The 17,015-nt window shown below is 37.3% G+C and overlaps 1 long non-coding RNA gene across 2 annotated transcripts in view; it reads right to left on the bottom strand.

The window, feature by feature from the left end:
- The window catches only part of LOC105378008 (uncharacterized), an 81,586-nt gene that overhangs the window by 25,992 nt on the left and 38,579 nt on the right, over window positions 1–17,015 (bottom strand). For both annotated transcript variants that reach the window (XR_001744346.1, XR_943001.2), the window contains exons 3-4: window positions 12,220–12,539; window positions 11,036–11,253 (exon numbers count right to left, since the gene is read on the bottom strand). This is a non-coding gene — a long non-coding RNA (uncharacterized LOC105378008). The remainder of the gene's footprint in view (window positions 1–11,035; window positions 11,254–12,219; window positions 12,540–17,015) is intronic.

Here is a 17,015-nt window from a genome sequence, read left to right as displayed (position 1 = left end):
TTTTATGGCTCTTGGATTCCACAGAGGCTGTTGTGGTTTGAAAATAACAGAACAATGTGCTGTTGCTTCACCAGCCGGTTAATGACCTGCCTCATAGTTAAAGGCCTTAAACCACACAGGGCAAGCTGGGCTGAGCCACCCGGGCCAAAGCTGCCTGGCTGGATCCAGGCAACAATAGGGAAAACATTCCAAATTTCATTATTCAGTCCATGCTGAGTTGACTTCTTGAAATTTTATTAATAATTTCTCCACAGGTTAGGCTGTCCTGTTTGCTTTACCAAAAGGACATTGCAAAGTTGTAGAGTCAGTAAACAGCAAAGCACAGGAAAAAGGTGAAATGCCAGGAAGAAACCAAAAGCACTCTCAATCTGTACCCTGGGGTTTCAAGGGTAGAAAAAAGGCATGCCCCTTTGTTAGGAAAAGAAAAGAAGAAAATGAGGAGGAAGAGAACAGATGGGGGAGCTGGAGAAGGGAGGAAAAGGAGGAGGAGGAAGAAGACGATGGAAGGGAAAAAGCAAAAGAGGAAGGAAAGGAAAGACTTGTCACCATCTCTCAATTCATAAATGTAGGACCTATCTTTAGATATCAGCATGAGTGAAGGATTTACAATAAAGAATACCATAGTCACTAATACATATACAGAAAAAGCTTTAGAAAACTGTACAAAGATGGATGCTGACAACAGCAATTTTTAATCTGTTCTTTTCACGTAATGTTTCTACCCTACGATTCCCAAGAAAACACAACACACCTTTGCAACACGATTTTTGCCATCAAGGCAAACATTATTAGTGTTTACCTCTTACTCTGTTTCCAGTATATCTTTTCCCACACAAGGTACAAAGCGACAACCTGGTTGACACACGCCAAGCTAGATCATGAACTATTGCAGTTAGAATCAGAAATAAACCTTGGGAAAATATTTCTGCTATGGTTGCTGAATGTGACTTTGATTCAAATGTATTTTACTGCCACTTGGCTACCCATCTTGACCTCTTTTATCCCAGTTAAGAAATGGCAAAAGGAAGAAAGATATAAAATACACTGTGTGTGTGTGTGTGTGTGTGTGTGTGTGTGTGTGTGTATGAGAGAGAGAGAGAGAGAGAGAGAGCCATTTTCTCTAAATGCATAAAAGAATCCTGAGTGGGTCATCGCGAATATGAAGATGGACTTCAGTTTAAATTTAAAAGAGAAAATTTTGCCCTAGATCCTGACTATGCCTCTTACAGGGAGTACACGAAAGGACCATCATAGATTCTGTCTCAGACTCCCAAGAGCCAGCAGCCCCACCCTCCCTCCTGCTGCTCAGACAGGTGGGTACACAGGTCACTCCTGGTGGCCAGCAACTTGCCACTATTGAGTCAGCCTGTTCACGAATAACTGTAATTGTTAGAAAAGCATTTTCTTCTGGGAGCCTAAACTTACCACTCTGTGATTCCACCATTCATTTTAGTTCTGTAACTCTGCGGAAAAGTCTACCCCCTCTTCTACCGAACAGCCTTTGAAATTGTTAACACAGCTTGTCATTTTCTCTCGCTAAATGAACACATTCCCCCAGTTATTCCTTATATGATATGGTTTCCAGACCCTTCACCGTTATTCCTTTGAACATGTTCCAGTTTGCTGTCAACTTCTCCCTAAAAATGTAGTGCCCAGAACTCAATAGAGCACTTCCTGTGTGACCAGCAGCAAATGAGGTTAGACTAATAATTTCCTTGATGTGGACACTATATTTCAGCTAATAGACAATAAAACTGAGTTAGGTGTTTAGCAGTAGGTCCACACTCTTGGGTTAGATTAACTAGCATTAAAATATGTAAATTTACCTTCCATATGCTACCAAATCAAATATTCACTATTCTCCACACAAGAAATAGATTATTCGAACCTAAATGTAAGAGTTATGTTTATCCTGTTGAATTTCAGTTTATTTGTTTCAACCACTCTTTCTAGCTTATAAAGTTAGTTTAATGAATTATTCTCCCCCAACAAATTAGCTAATACTCCTCATTTTGTATCACTTGCAATTTTGACAAAACTTCCTTCTTTGTCTAAGGCATTGAACAAAAGAGGGGAGTACAAGTGCTTTTACAGATAAAGAGTTCAATAAAGAGCCTGACACCTAGCATTCAATAAATGTTAGCAATGCTTATCATAAAAACCTTTCAGAATCCTTCCTCTGGCAGGCATCCATTCCTTCTCTCAAAATAGTAGCTTACTGGCCAAATGCACTGGCTCACACCTGGAATCCCTGCATTTTGGAAGGCTGAGGTGGGCGGATCACTTGAAGCCAGAAGTTCGAGACCAACCTGGCCAACATGGCGAAACCCCATCTCTACTAAAAATACAAAAATTAGCTGGGTGTGGTGGCAGCCACCTATAATCCCAGCTACTGGGAAGGCTGAGGCAGGAGAATCACTTGAACCCGGGAGGCGGATGTTGCAGTGAGCTGAGATGGCGTCACTGCACTCCAGCCTGGGTGACAGAGCTAGACTCTGTCTCAAAAAGCAAACAAACAAAAAAACAGTAACTTATAGAAACTTGGAAAACAAACAACAGCAACAACAACAACAACAAAAGATATCTTATAAAGAAAAAGGAGAAGAAGGAACATGAAAATAAAGACTCTCCCAGCATATTTGCCCTTGAGAAGGCAACCCTGCCGTAGCCCATGGCTGGGCAGCTGGTGACATTCAGGAGTCTGGAACAGCTCGTGTCCTCAGAGTTCCCTCTGAGATGTGCTCTCATTTGCTCCTGGCTTTTCCTCTCCACTATTCTAGTCTAAAAAAGAAAGAGCTAGTAAATTTGGAGTGTAAGTCCAAGAGTTTGCATTTTATTTCAATGAACAATGTTTCCATTGTGTCCACATCAGTAAAATGGTGGTTAGAAACGAATGTTGTAAGAATTATTTATCTGTGGTTTAGGAAAATAACCAAATAACCAAATATGTTTTACTGTGGCAGGACAACATACGATAGAAGGTTTCCTGCTGACTCCAGTTGCATCTATAAGCATTTGCTTGAAGGCAATTCCCTTCAGTGAAATATAAAAAAGTATAATATTACACATTTTTGAAATATATGAAAAAGTATTATTAAAACCACTGAAAAAGACAGTTCTGAAATCTGGTAACTGCTGTAACTTTTTTCTTCTGTTTCCTCAATATATCTACATGTATTCTTTATTTATAAAGTAAATAAATCAGCCTTACACGGTGGCTCACACCTGTAATCCCAGCACTTTGGAAGGCTGAGGCGGGTGGAACACCTGAGGTCAGGAGTTTGAGACCAGCCTAGTCAACATGGTGAAACCCCGTCTGTACTAAAAATACAAAAATTAGCCAGGCATGGTGGTGCACGCCTTAGTCCCAGCTACTCGGGAGGCTGAGGCAGGAGAATCACTTGAACCCAGGAGGCAGAGGTTGCAGTGAGCTGAGATCACACTACTGCACAGAGCGAGACTCCATCTCCAAAAAAAAAAAAAAGTAAATAAATGGTCTTTATAATGTAGGCTTCTGGTGTACATTAAATGATTTCAAATAAATGAGGGCTTTATAAAGCAACATACTATCTCTTCTTTTCTTATCTATGTTCCCTAATTGCCTATCTGTATTGTGGAGAAAGGCAAAAATAATAATCATTTTCAGGAAAACAGGATTTATAAAATAGAAGAAATATAGATTTTATATTTATAAATTTTAGTCCTTCAAAAATAGCCATATATTCGATAGCAAAATTAATGTAATCAGGATGCTGGAAGCAAATTGAGGAGGTGGATGATTTTGCATATCCGATAGTAAGTGTAAAATTTACATTTCTGCTACCTTCTCATATTTTTTACTATTTTAAGGTACTCAAGGAACTCATTTTTAAGAGACTGATATTTTTGCTCATATCTATATTTTCCATATGAAAAATAATTTTATATGAAAAAGTTCTAATTATGTTACATTTGAATTCATCACAGTGACTTCTTAATCAATTTATGAGAAACAAACAGGCATGCATCAACACCCTCAGGTCTGATAAAATAATGTTAAAGAGTTGTAAAAATACAAAGATGTGATCTTTTTAAGAGACCCCCTTTGACTCTGGAAATATTATGTAAATAGGAAAAAAAATTAAAAAGATCCCCATAACAGAGAGATATGGTGAAAAGGGCTTTTAATCAGACCACAGCCACATGTCATGTACATGGGGAACAGGCTGTGCCCTTGTTCTCTGCCCACTTCTATAGTCCATGAGTGACCAGGCTCCCCACTGTGACTTGAAGGTCATTAATCGTGTTCTGTCTTAATCACCAACCCAGGGTCCTACAGTTACTGAGGCATGAGTGAATGAATGGGAGTGAATGGAGAACAGGAGTCCTCACTGGCGCAGGTCCTTCCCCCCGGTGCGAACACCATCAACTGAGAGATGAAGCATCTGACAGATGAGGCTGTTCACTGCACTGGCTCCTGCCTTCCCTTCCTAATGGTTTTGTATATGTGTGATTGACTTTGGTTATTGATTCTTTGAAGGTTAGCTGACATCAGATACTTTAAATATCTGCCCACACAATGATGGCTGAGAAAACCAATGAGAAAGAAATTTTTCTAAGTTAAGACACTTGTCAAACACAGCTAGCTTTAAGTAGACATCATTGCACTAGGGGACCACTTTGGTTTTTAAGCCTCTTTGAGAGACAGAGGGCAAGCCTTTGTTAGCTCTTCTTCTGCTAGAAATCTGCTTCAGACCTGTTGATGTTATTTTTTTCCCTGACTTCTGTAAATATTTTATAATTATCAAAAAAAAGCTTTCTGAAGAATTATTTACATTTTTCTTCATGAAGATAAAGGAACTGATTTGTTCATAACTTGATGTTTACTTAGAAATTCCTATATTCTAAGCATTTTATTCTAGAGTTCAAAAACCTCTCCTATAATTTTTCTAAATGTTTCACACGTACTTTTTTTTTATTCATTGGAATATTCCCTTCTTTTCATTTAACATAAATACAGTCCTCATACCCCACCCCATCCCCCAAAATAGAATAAACATTACTTTTTTGAGAGTTTGCAGAGCATGGAGGTGCTTCTGTTTATTACTGCAATGATTTTATAACATAGGTACAGTATTTGTACTCACATTATGAAATAGGATCCTGTGTTTCAGAGGGTTTGAATAACTTTCCCAAGATTACACAGCTAAAATATATGGAGCTAGGAGACAAAGTATAATTCTGTTCAGAGTAATACTGATTCCCTTCTACACTCCCTTCTACACTTCAAAACAGCTTCTCAAGCTCTAACATGAGCCTATATTTAACACCAGCTTTCCTTAGTACATAAGGACCCTCAACTCATCAATCAAGGCTACAATGATCATGCTCTACATAAGAAACGCCTGTATCTTCCACTGATATGCTCAGGGGTGTGCGTGTGTGCGCGCGTGTGTGTGTGTGAGCGGGAGGGGTAGGGGGAGGGTCTTGTTTTTTGTATTACTTAAGTGCACTGGCACTGATGGTTATGTGCATTAAAAAGCACACACAAAAAAGTGAAAACATATTTTTCTTTATTGTCAGAAGAAAAAAGAACGATCCATGTTACCTCAAGAACGATCCGTATTACCTCAAAACCTATATGGACATTACAATGTCAAACTCACCTTATTTTTTTTCTAACATCCATTTGATTAGATCATTTTAAAATTTATTCTGACTACGGCACCATACTTTTATGCATCATTGTATATTTGAAATTAAAGGGTTTACTGAGTTGGCAATTATAGGGAGACTTTAAGCAAAAAACTAAACTATTATACAGAAGGCCCAAATTACAGCAGTGTCCAGTTGTACACCGATTTTATCTAGATCTCAAGGACAGCACTAGACCTTAAAATACCAAACTTTTATTTGCATAGTCAGTTTCGAGTTAGTAAGAAAGATCAAATATGCACTGTATACAACAAAATCTAAGAGAACGTTTGCATAATGTCAGCAAAATATGATTGTAACAGTGACAGGGTAAAGTTACTATTAAAAGAATTGTACTTATTCATTTAATGCTTAAAGTTGTCATATGAGGTGAGTACTCATATACCCATTTTATAGGTGAGGAAACTGAGGCACCGAGTGTGTTGATAGCTTGCTCAAGATCACACAACTAGTAGGTAGTGAAGTCAGGATTTTGACTTAAGTAGCTGGTTGTAGAGTTCCCGTGTTTAACCACTACACTACTTTGATAACACTAATATTGTTATTATTGTCCTTTTTTTTTTTTTGATACCAAATCTCACTTTGTTGCCCAGGCAGGAGTGCAGTGGCACAATCACGGCTTACTGCAGCCTTGATCTCCTGGGCTCAAGGGATCTTCCCACTTCATCCCCCTAAGTAGCTAGGACTACAGGTGTGTGCCACCATGCCTGGCAAAAAATAATCTTAATAAAAATGTTCAGAGTCCACATAGAAAAAACACCAAAATTCCACTTAAAGATGTATTAGACTGAGTAAATAGAATCTTAACACATTTTTGGTGAGGAATCTGAATGTTTTACCTGTGTAACTCTTTTATGTTAATGACTTCAATGTAATTTACGTTGAATGCCATATAAAAATTGCTGTTAGTACTTTATTACTGTTCTCTTTTAGGATACCTCAACATTTGAATTTTACCATAATAATGTGACTTAGTTTTCTTAGTTTTTGTCATTTTTAAGATTCTGGCAAATAATTTTAAATAATTTATTTGTTACTAAAATTTGATATATCCTTAACGATCATTCAGCATATTATCAAACTATATAACCATCCTAAAATACTTGATGAATAAATTAATAAAAGTTAATGTTTCTCAAAAAAAAAAGAAAGAAAGAAAAGAAAGAATGAACAGGTTCTCGGGACTGTATTGGGTCCTATGCAGGCTGTCATCAGTACAATATCAGTTAATGGCAAGAAAATATTGTCTTGCCATTTAATAAGGTATTACTCTAAATTCTGCTCCTTGCTCAATTGAGTTATTTAGCACTGGAAGGCATTTAATAGCATCTCTTGGAGAGATATATATATATATATATATATATATATATATATATATATATAAAATAACCAGGGCCCTGAATAGGTTGTTTAAGAAAACATAGATGATGAATGGTTTAGCCAGATCCCAAACCAGGGCCTCGGATTCCCAGTCCAGTGTTTTTTCCCACTGCACCAGATTCATGTAAAACTCTAAGACACACATTTTAAACAGGATATGCAATTTGGAAAATTTACTTTGAATTATAACCTTGTGCCCTCATTATTTTCCACCACTATTTATCTTTGTATCTTTCTCTATCCTAAGGGTCCTCTCTTTTGGATCACTGTTATCTGATTTTTCTAAACATTCCTCCTTGTCTTTCACTTTCTCTTCATAATTGCTTTCCATTTTTAGGCCCTATCTCTACTTATATCTTTACTCTGAGTTTACTCTTTCTGTATTTTTTTGAAAATCCCAAGAGGAGCATTGTTTTGGTTTTGAAGGCACCAAGTAACATGTCTTTATAATCAAGAACTTGGATGCTACTTACATATTCCAGATATCTACAGTTATCCTTGAAATTGATTTCGCCTAATTTTTATAAAGTTATCTAAGCCCTTTCATCCCTTTAAATATCTGTTTTGAAATTTGCTTTGTAGGCTATGAGAATTCTGTAGATGAAAAAAAAATAGAATGAGTGCGGTTAGGATAAAGAACAAGACGTTGGCGTGTAATCAATATGATTCAGTGGATAAGTAGAATTTCCGATTGTTATATCAGTTTTAAACCAAATTATGCATCGCCCAATTCAGGAAGCTTGATTCTTCCAACATGCTTGAACTACTTTCTGGCAGAGTTAGATGCTTTGAAAACAGAGCAAAAACCAACAGAGTTTATGGTGTGGTAGAGTCCTATGGCCTCAGAGTTTCTGAAAAACAAGCATGGGCCCTTTAAAGACAAGGGATTTGCTTCACTGGATACATTAATGCTTACAAATGTACTGTTATCATGCTTGGGTAGCCAATATTTCATATTTTGACAACTTCACACATTTCAGAATTAGGATCAGCAAAGAATTTTGAAGGAGACAACCCTGAGTACAAGTTCTTAGAGTTTTATTTAACTTCCTGAGCCTCATCTGTAGACACTGCAAGGTTGTTATGACAATTAAAAGAATGTCTACAAAGTGCCACACAATGGGTTCCCAGTGAGTGATATGATGATCATGATGTTACTAAAATCCCATATTGATTTAAAAAAAGGGAAGAGAAAACCATGCCTCTGGATAAATCCTCCCAGCAGATACAATGAATACCAAATAACATAACTGTAAAAATTTTAAAGGATAACAACAATTTACAAATTAGATTGGTGATTCAATAAATAAGCCTGATAGGAAAAAAAGAAAGGTACTCTTAGAAGAAAACCCACAAAAGTTAATCTGATCAATTGATAATGTTTATATTTGCCCTTGATGTAATCAATAATTTTAAAAGGCAATTTTAAAGAAAGTCACAAAGAGTCATTACTATGTTAAAATTATTTTTCCCAATGTCTTTCATTTTGCCGTATGTAATTAAGAGATCATAAAATATTTTTTAAAATTCACCATTTGTAAAGTTTTATTATAAACATTGTATTTGTTTTGTAATTCTAAACAGTAAATGATCCAGGGAGAATCTGCCGCCTGGTAAGGAAAGGCAGACATCTACTCTATGTAGAATTTTAGAATAATCGAAAATCAGACTGACGAACAGGATAGCAAACCCTTGTGGAAAAGCAAATTGGTGAATCCACACAGCAAAACTTTCTCAGGTTTTCAGTTATGAAAGCAAAGTTCTCTATTGTTGCCACGTATTTTATTTGTCATCTCTAAGCCAGACATCACTTGACAGCAGCTAGTAGGCCCTCTATATGTGTTGATGCTTCACTTGCTTACCACAGGACAAGGGCCCTCCAGAAAGGGAAGCATGCTGGGTAGGTGGAGATCCTTTTTTGCCTCTGGCAGACTCAGCAAGAGGTGACTGATGCTAAAAAGAACAGCGATAACCCTTTTCTGTTTGCTAAAACTAATGTTGTTCCTATTATTCTAATTTTGTTTACTTTAAAAATTAAAAGTAGTTATTTGAATCAAGCAACATATTCCCAAAAACAGATGAAGTGGACATTTTAATACAGACTGAAGTAAAAGAAACATTGTACTGTAGCTCCCTCACATGGATCTTAAGTGTTGAATAACAGCCTCCAGATAATTATTTCCTCTATCCCATACTCTTCTCCCTTTTGGGGTGCTGCCCAGGTAAGCAGCCAGTACTAAGTATCTGATAACATGCCTTGTTGGGCCATGTAGAATAATATTTTCTTCTGAGCCCTGTAATTTTGCCCCTCCACAATCTAAGGGTCCACGCCCAGCACATCTCGTCTCCTGGGAAACCCACAGCAACTCAGTGGCCAATAGTTATACTATTTCTACTTCTTCCAAACCAAGACGAAGATGATTTGAAATTTCTGTTTGTTTATTGCCCGCTGAACATACATTCCAAAAATACTGGAGAAAATACGAAGATGAAGTATTCTCTGAATTAGAAGCCAAATGTCTCCTCAAAGCCAATTTTACTGGTTGGTTATATTATGTTTGTAAAGGTTATTTTATGGAATCAATTTACATTCACCTCTACTATCAAATTTAGTAAGTGTTAATTATATTTCTTATATAAGAGGAGGCAAAACTTTAATTTTTTGCATATTCTCTGCTAGGTATCTTTATTTTAGACACATATCGAATTTTTGTATTTACCTAAACACTCTTAGTTCTATTTTAGAGATTAAAAACTAAGGTTCAGCTTATATCCAAAAGACAGGGAACAACAAATGCTAGCAAGGATGTGGAGAAAAGGGAACCCTCATACACTGTTGGTGGGAATGTAAATTAGTACAACCACAATGGAGAACAATTTGGAGGTTCCTCAAAAAACTAAAGATTGAGCTATCATATGATCCAGCAATCCCACTGCTGGTTGTATACCCCAAAAAAAGGAAATCAGGATATGGAAGAGATATCTGCACTCCTATGTTTGTCGTGCACTGTTTGCAATAGCTAAGATTTGGAAGCAACCTAAGTGTCCATCAACAGATGAATGGATAAAGAAAATGTAATCCCTATACACAATGGAGTACTATTCAGCCATAAAAAGAGAATGAAATGCAGTCATTTGCAATGGTCCTGGAGATCATTATGTTAAGGATAATAAGCCAGGCACAGAAAGACAAACATCACATGTTCTCACTTATTTGTGGGATCCAAAAATCAAAACAACTGAACTCATGAACATAGAGGAGTAGAAGGATGGTTACCAGAGTCTAGGAAGGGTAATGAAGGGCCGGCAGGGAGGTGGGGATGCTTAATGGGTACAAAAAAGAAAATAGAAAGAATGAATAAGGGCTGGGCATACTGGCTCACACCTGTAATCCTAGCACTTTGGGAGGCTGAGGCAGGTGGCTCACTTAAAGTCAGGAGTTCGAGACCAGCCTTGCCAACATGGTGAAACCTCGTCTCTACTAAAAATACAAAAATTAGCCAGGGATGGTGGTGCACACCTATAATTCCAGCTTCTCTGGAGGCTGAGGCAGGAGAATCGCTTGAACAAGGGAGGAGGTTGCAGTAAGCCAAGATCGTGCCATTGCACTCCAGCCTGGGCAATGGAGCAAGACTCCATCTCAAAAAAAAAAAAAAAAAGGATGAATAAGACCTACAATTTGATAGCACAATAGGGTGACTATAGTTCACTAAGAACTTAATTATACATTTTGAAATAAATAGCCTAACTGGATTGTTTGTAACTCAAAGGATAAATGCTTGAGGAGATGGATACCCCATTCTCCATGATGTGCTTTTTTCATATTGCATGCCTGTATCAAAACATCTTAAGTACCTCATAAATACATACATGTAGTATATACACCACAAAAATAAATAAAATTCTAAAAATTTTTTAAATAAACTCTAAAAAATCAAGTTTATTAAAAATAAGTACTCACACTAAATATATTGTTGCTTTGATGCTAAGAATGATATTTAAAGTTTATGTTGGAAGATGTCTCACCCTGGAACTTTTTAAAAAAATCTGTTTCTTAAACTGCCAGTGACTTCTCCTAAATGGTATTTGGGAAAAGGTTCATGTTGCTTGGGTTGTTGAGTTCTCAAAGGAAAGGTGAGGGATGGAAAAAATTCTAGGTGTTGGTTTTTTCTTCACAGGCTAGCGGCAGAGAGAAAAGAAGAAGTAAAAATTAGTATTGTCTTGATATCAAATTGGTATTTGATAATTGTATGCTTATGTTGAACAAAATTTGGGGAAACTTAGCTTCTCACATAGTGTTCCAACCAACTCAACACCTTCCCCACTTTTGCCCAACTATTCCCTTGACCTCACTAATGCTTTATATGAAGTATATACCTCAGTTTGTGACTTAGAGTACTCCTAAACAAACCTTTCCGCAGATCACATTTGTGTAAATCAAATCACATTCATTATCCTGCAGTAAACGCAGTCTAAAAGGACAGATTCCTCAGTGCTGTGCTTAATCACACCCAAATTTACAAACCCAATAAATCAAGACATCAGTGCATCTGACTGTCTTCTGGTGTAGAACACGTGTGCATTTGCTCCTTAGCAAGTTCATGGTGCTCCAGTACTTGACATAATAAGTCTAGGAGCCACAAAGAAGACTCTCTGAGGAACTGCACGTCTGAAGAGAAGATGTGGGCATGAACTTGAATCAGCTAGAATACTGGGGGTCAGGAGGAAACGAGGAATGAGACTTGTGTTGGGACTTTGGGGGAGTTCTGCAACTATTCAGAAACAGTCTCCAAAACAATCCATTTTATTTCAGTAGAAATTTCTAAATTTCTTAATTTCCCAAGGAACTGACAAATAAGATGATAAAGATAGATATTAGACAAACTAGGGTGAGGAATAACTTTTAAAGTTTCTCTCAATTATTGAGCATTTTAGATGCCCATTATTTTTCTGCCCCAATTCAACTCAAGAAATATAAACACCATGTCTCCCAGATGACATATGTAAGTCACATTCATTATGTCCCCAAACGCTTATATAACAAGCCTTCGGTTTCACAGCAAGTGGCGAAGTTGATGGTAAAATGTTTTTATTTTCCTCCTCCTGGTAGATGCTTGTGTGAAGTGATGGAACTCCTTATCCTACCTTTTATATGCCGTGGCATGTGGGAATGCAGACATAGCAGAGAAGACTTGAGTATATTGAGTGAAGGACCTTAGGTATGGAGAGGTAGAGGACTGGTGAAGGAAGCAGGAAAATTAGTAAATGGCCTTCCTCTCCTGTACTCTGCACTCTAACTTTCAGGAAAAAGTAGTTGTAGTCAATCTCTCAGGGTATTGGTTAATTCTTCCTTCCAGTTTAAATGGTTCATGGGTCAACTGTTGACCTCCTCTGCATAAGACAGCCTTGAGCAATCGCCTCCTGAGCAGCAGGCTGGGCAAGGTTCCACATTCCATGGTCCTTTGCTGGAGGAGTTGGACACAGGAAGAGAGAGAGAGAGCATAAGAGACTACTTGCAGTCCACTAAGCCAAGAGCACTTTTGCTTCTGCATATCTCAAACATCTGAAAGCCTATGCAGGTTTCTGTTTACGGGAGAAACTATCAAGGATGCCAGCAAAATACACACCAGTTTCCTAATTTCCAAGTGTCTATGGCAAAGTAAGAGCTTTCCATTTCCAGCACCAAAATACATAACATTGCATCTGATGTGCTGCTTATTTATTCTCTTTAAACTTTTAATTCAGAAGCTCAACTTGTCTTAAATGGCTTAAAGCCCAAACCAACACAGCAGTTACAGCTCTCTGACATATTGTTTGTAACCAGAAAAATCAGCAAAGCCAGAAGCTTTCTGCTGTGAGCACTTTTGTTTCCCCTCTTTTGTTTTATTAACCTCTCCACAGCTGGTGCAGTCGAAAACACTCTTTCATCACATGCTTAGCAGAAGTTCAAGTGTAGCAGAGAATGCAGCCAAGAATCTGTCTGCTGGATTCACTGTCAGAATGTCATGTTTCACTTCTAACTTAACTCCTATCTGATACAGATGACGGAAACAGACAAAGCAAATCTGCAACAGGAAAGGCTCTCTCTCTGGACCCTCTCAAACTGATTAATAATCCAAGGATTCGAGGACAAGTCAAATAGCAGAGTAGTAATATTTTCACATTAATATAAGAATTCAGGATTCACAGGATTTTCTGCTTGTCCATCCTTTTTTTTTCTGATGTAGTAAACAGCCTACAGATCACAAAGCTACTGAATTATGAAGCAATAATGCACTCTTGTCTGACACTACTTAGAATTTATAAAATAGATTAAAAATTAAAATAGTATCAAAAATTTACCAGACTTCCTGTTTCCTTCTTTATTTTAATGAAGCATTTATATTCCTAGTCTTTGTACATCAATATCTTTTTTGTAGGCTAGGGAGTCTTTATCAGAATTGGTTACTACTCAGGTAAATACACACTTATATACTATTGCTACAAGGTGATTATTGGCTGTTGGAATTTTTTTAATGTCATTAGATGAGTACTCAAGTTACTTTTCTTGGAGAGAGGATACATTTTCAGCAGCATTTCCCAAACTGCCTGGCTTGGGTAAAAGTTTGCCTTTATTATAACAGAAGTATTTTAGCTTCTTTCCTAATATGTTCATAATTATAAAAATACTTCAAATTTAGTGAACTATTGTTGGCTTCATCTCCCAAATGTAGGAACACACAATCCTTTTTCTGTTGTGACATTCAATTCATAAGCACATTAACAGAAATTAAGTATCTCCTAACACTTGAGAAAAGGTAATACCTAAGTGATGTCTCAGCCATCTTATCCTTTCCCCCAGAACTTCCAAACTGCCTCAGGACCCAGGGATCAAAGTGTTAGCACCCGGCAGAGCACGAAACTTTAAGAACTTCAGAAGTCCTGCTGATGGTCCAAGTTCCTGCCATATATATTTCTAAATATTTTTAATATCACTGCTAGTATCATAGTGGAAATATTCATTTTACAAATATTTATTGAGGACTTAATGACATACCAGATACTGTTCTAGGTCCTGGCTGAGCTAGTCCTAAATGACATAGATAAAAATACCTGCAATGAAAAGAAGTGGACAGATTCTGGTTGCGTTTTTGAAATAAAGTAATCAGGACTTGCTGATGGATTTGGTGTAGGGAGAAAGAAGAGAGAGAATTCAAGGAAACCTCATAAGTTTCTTACTCAAGCAACTGCTAGATGAAGGTGCTATTTATTTACATGGGGGAGAATGGGAAGGAGTGGGTTTGCAAAGGTACGTTTCACAGTAGACTTGAATTCACAGAAACATATATGGTAAAACCTATGAGAAAACTTTCAAAAGAACACAGAATCACTTACCCTACCTATGTGCCAATTCTTCATCTATAAATCTGAGACATTAATATCTACCACACATAATTCAAGAGGTTGTGGTAATAATCCAACATGGTAACAGATATGAAGTTATTGTTATTGTTGGAGAAACATGGGTCACTATCACTAACACCATCACCCAGATTTCTGGGAACCATTATATTTGGTTCTTCTAGGCTCTCACCAGATAGGAATGTGGGTGGTGGAAGCTCATAGAACAGAGAAGAGTTGTAACAGTGGAAGGTAAGATCAGCAATTAAAATCTCCCCAAAATTAGGAGACTGTAGAGATGGTCTGTACATCAATTACAACATTTCAGAAATGGTTTCTCAACCAATCACTTTTTTATTATTTATTTATTTTTTTTGAGATGGAGTCTAGCTCTGTCTCCCAGGCTGGAATGAGGTGCTGCAATCTTGGCTCACTGCAACCTCCACTTCCTGGGTTCAAGCGATTCTCCTGTCTCAGCCTCCCAAGTAGCTGGGATTACAGGCACCTGCCACCATGCCTGACTAATTGTTTCACCATGCTCGCCAGGCTAGTCTCGAACTCCAGACCTCAAGTCATCCACCTGCCTCGGCCTCCCAAAGCACTGGGATTACAAGCGTGAGCCACCTTGCTCAGCCCCACTTTTCTTAACATTAATGAAAAACTGGACCAATTTTGACATTGTTTTACATTAGATAAATAGGATTAAGATAAATTGCAATTGGATAAATTGCAATTAAACTGTCTTATCTAATATAATTATGAAAGGCAAGATAAAGGGCAGAGAAAAGGAACAAATGATTTCATTCATATGCCTCACTCATTTTCACATTTCCCCACTCATGACTTTGGGCAAGTTGAGTCTTTGCATCTATAAGACATGGATCATGAATGCACTGATTACACCTTACTGAGTTGTGGAAAGAATCCAAAGAAACAATGCATGTGAGCATGCTATTCGAATGGGTGTTGTTATTTTACCAGCAGAACATATAGAAGGTACACAGTGGAAAAACTATTTGCAGGCTACAGTTAATTATTTGTTTTATATCTTCTTACTTCACCCCATGGCAACCACAGCATCTTGTATGTATTCCAAAGCGTTTACCACCCTTCACTGGATTAAATGAATTATTATTGAAGGTAGCAGATGACAAAAATATCATGTGTCTAATATACTGTACCTAGAGGCTTAAGTTCAAAGCTTTGGCACGATTCCTAAGGTACTTTGCACCTTCCACACCATACCAACCAACCCTTAAAATTCTAAGTAGTTCAAATTCTATGCCAATATTTCTCAGCTTCCTCCTTTCCCCTCTGTTACGGAATGAATAATTTAACTTTCTGAAGCTTAATAAAAAGTAGACAGCATCGTATAGTGGTTGAAAGCATAGAATTAGAGTTAGGCTGCTTGGGTTTGAAACCTAGTTATATGACTAACTTTTAGCAATTTATTTAACCATTTTGTACTCAAGCAAGATAAGGAAACTGATAATACCCATTCCATTTCCAGGGTTGTCATTAGGAGTAAATAAGTTGTTACTTATTTAAAGTGCAGAGAACAGTGCTTGGCACCTAGTATGAATTCAGTAAGCATTAGATGACATTATGTCCTCAGAATATGATATGGCATCTATAATAGAAAAAAAATTAGGCATGGATTTATTCATGTGACTACATCTTAATACTATTGTGTAGAAAATTACTACGGAAGATCCTTGTCACTAAAACAGGAAAGATTTAAAGCTCAGTTAGAATGTTTACATACAAAACGGATTGATTAAACAAACATTTGTGAGATGTATACCAAGCACCAAGGATGGTGTCCATGTAGGGAGTATAAAAGCAAACATACTCAAACCCTGTCCTTGAGCAATTCACGCTGCAGTCAGAAGAATCAGTTAGAATTATTAAAATTAAATGATATTTATTTGTTTATGCTAACCTAATTCCAAACTTTCTTACATAAGTAACACAATGTGAAAGGTGCTAGAACAGACAGAAGCACAGAGAACAGTGTTGTGGAATTCTGAGTAGGTGGCATAACTTGGGGGAAGCCATTTGCAGAGCCATGAAAAGAGGAGGAATTGAAACTGACCTATGGTACTAGATAAAATGGATTAAAAGCACTTCTAAGAAAAGATGATGCTAGGTCAGAGTCTTAAATGATAAGAAGAAACTTTATTAGATCGGACAATTGGGGAGCAAAGGATAGGTATTTACAGGTCAATAAACAAGAAGATGCATGAAAGGATGATGTAACCTGGGGGTCTGTGGAACTAAATATGGCAGAAATGAAGAGTGTGTCTGCACACATGGAAGGAGTTGAGGGTAGAGAGTTTGTCAAGGGTCAAACTATGCACAGTGGGGTACATTAGGTTTAGAAGTGTGGTCTTAGTGCTGAAGTAATGAGATAGCTTTGAAGGATTTGAGCAAAGGGACATTATTATCAGAAGCATGTTTTTGAAATATCTGACTCTGACAACGTCCTCACCCCATGCCCAGGCTTCTTTACTCCCCTTCTCCTGCTCTGTATTCCTCCATGGCACTTAACACCACTTGAT

Source organism: Homo sapiens, chromosome 6 (genome assembly GCF_000001405.40).
Source record: "Homo sapiens chromosome 6, GRCh38.p14 Primary Assembly".
Classification (NCBI taxonomy): Eukaryota; Metazoa; Chordata; class Mammalia; order Primates; family Hominidae; genus Homo; species Homo sapiens.
Note: the sequence above shows the minus strand (reverse complement) of the source record. Positions and strands in the feature narration are given on the sequence as shown.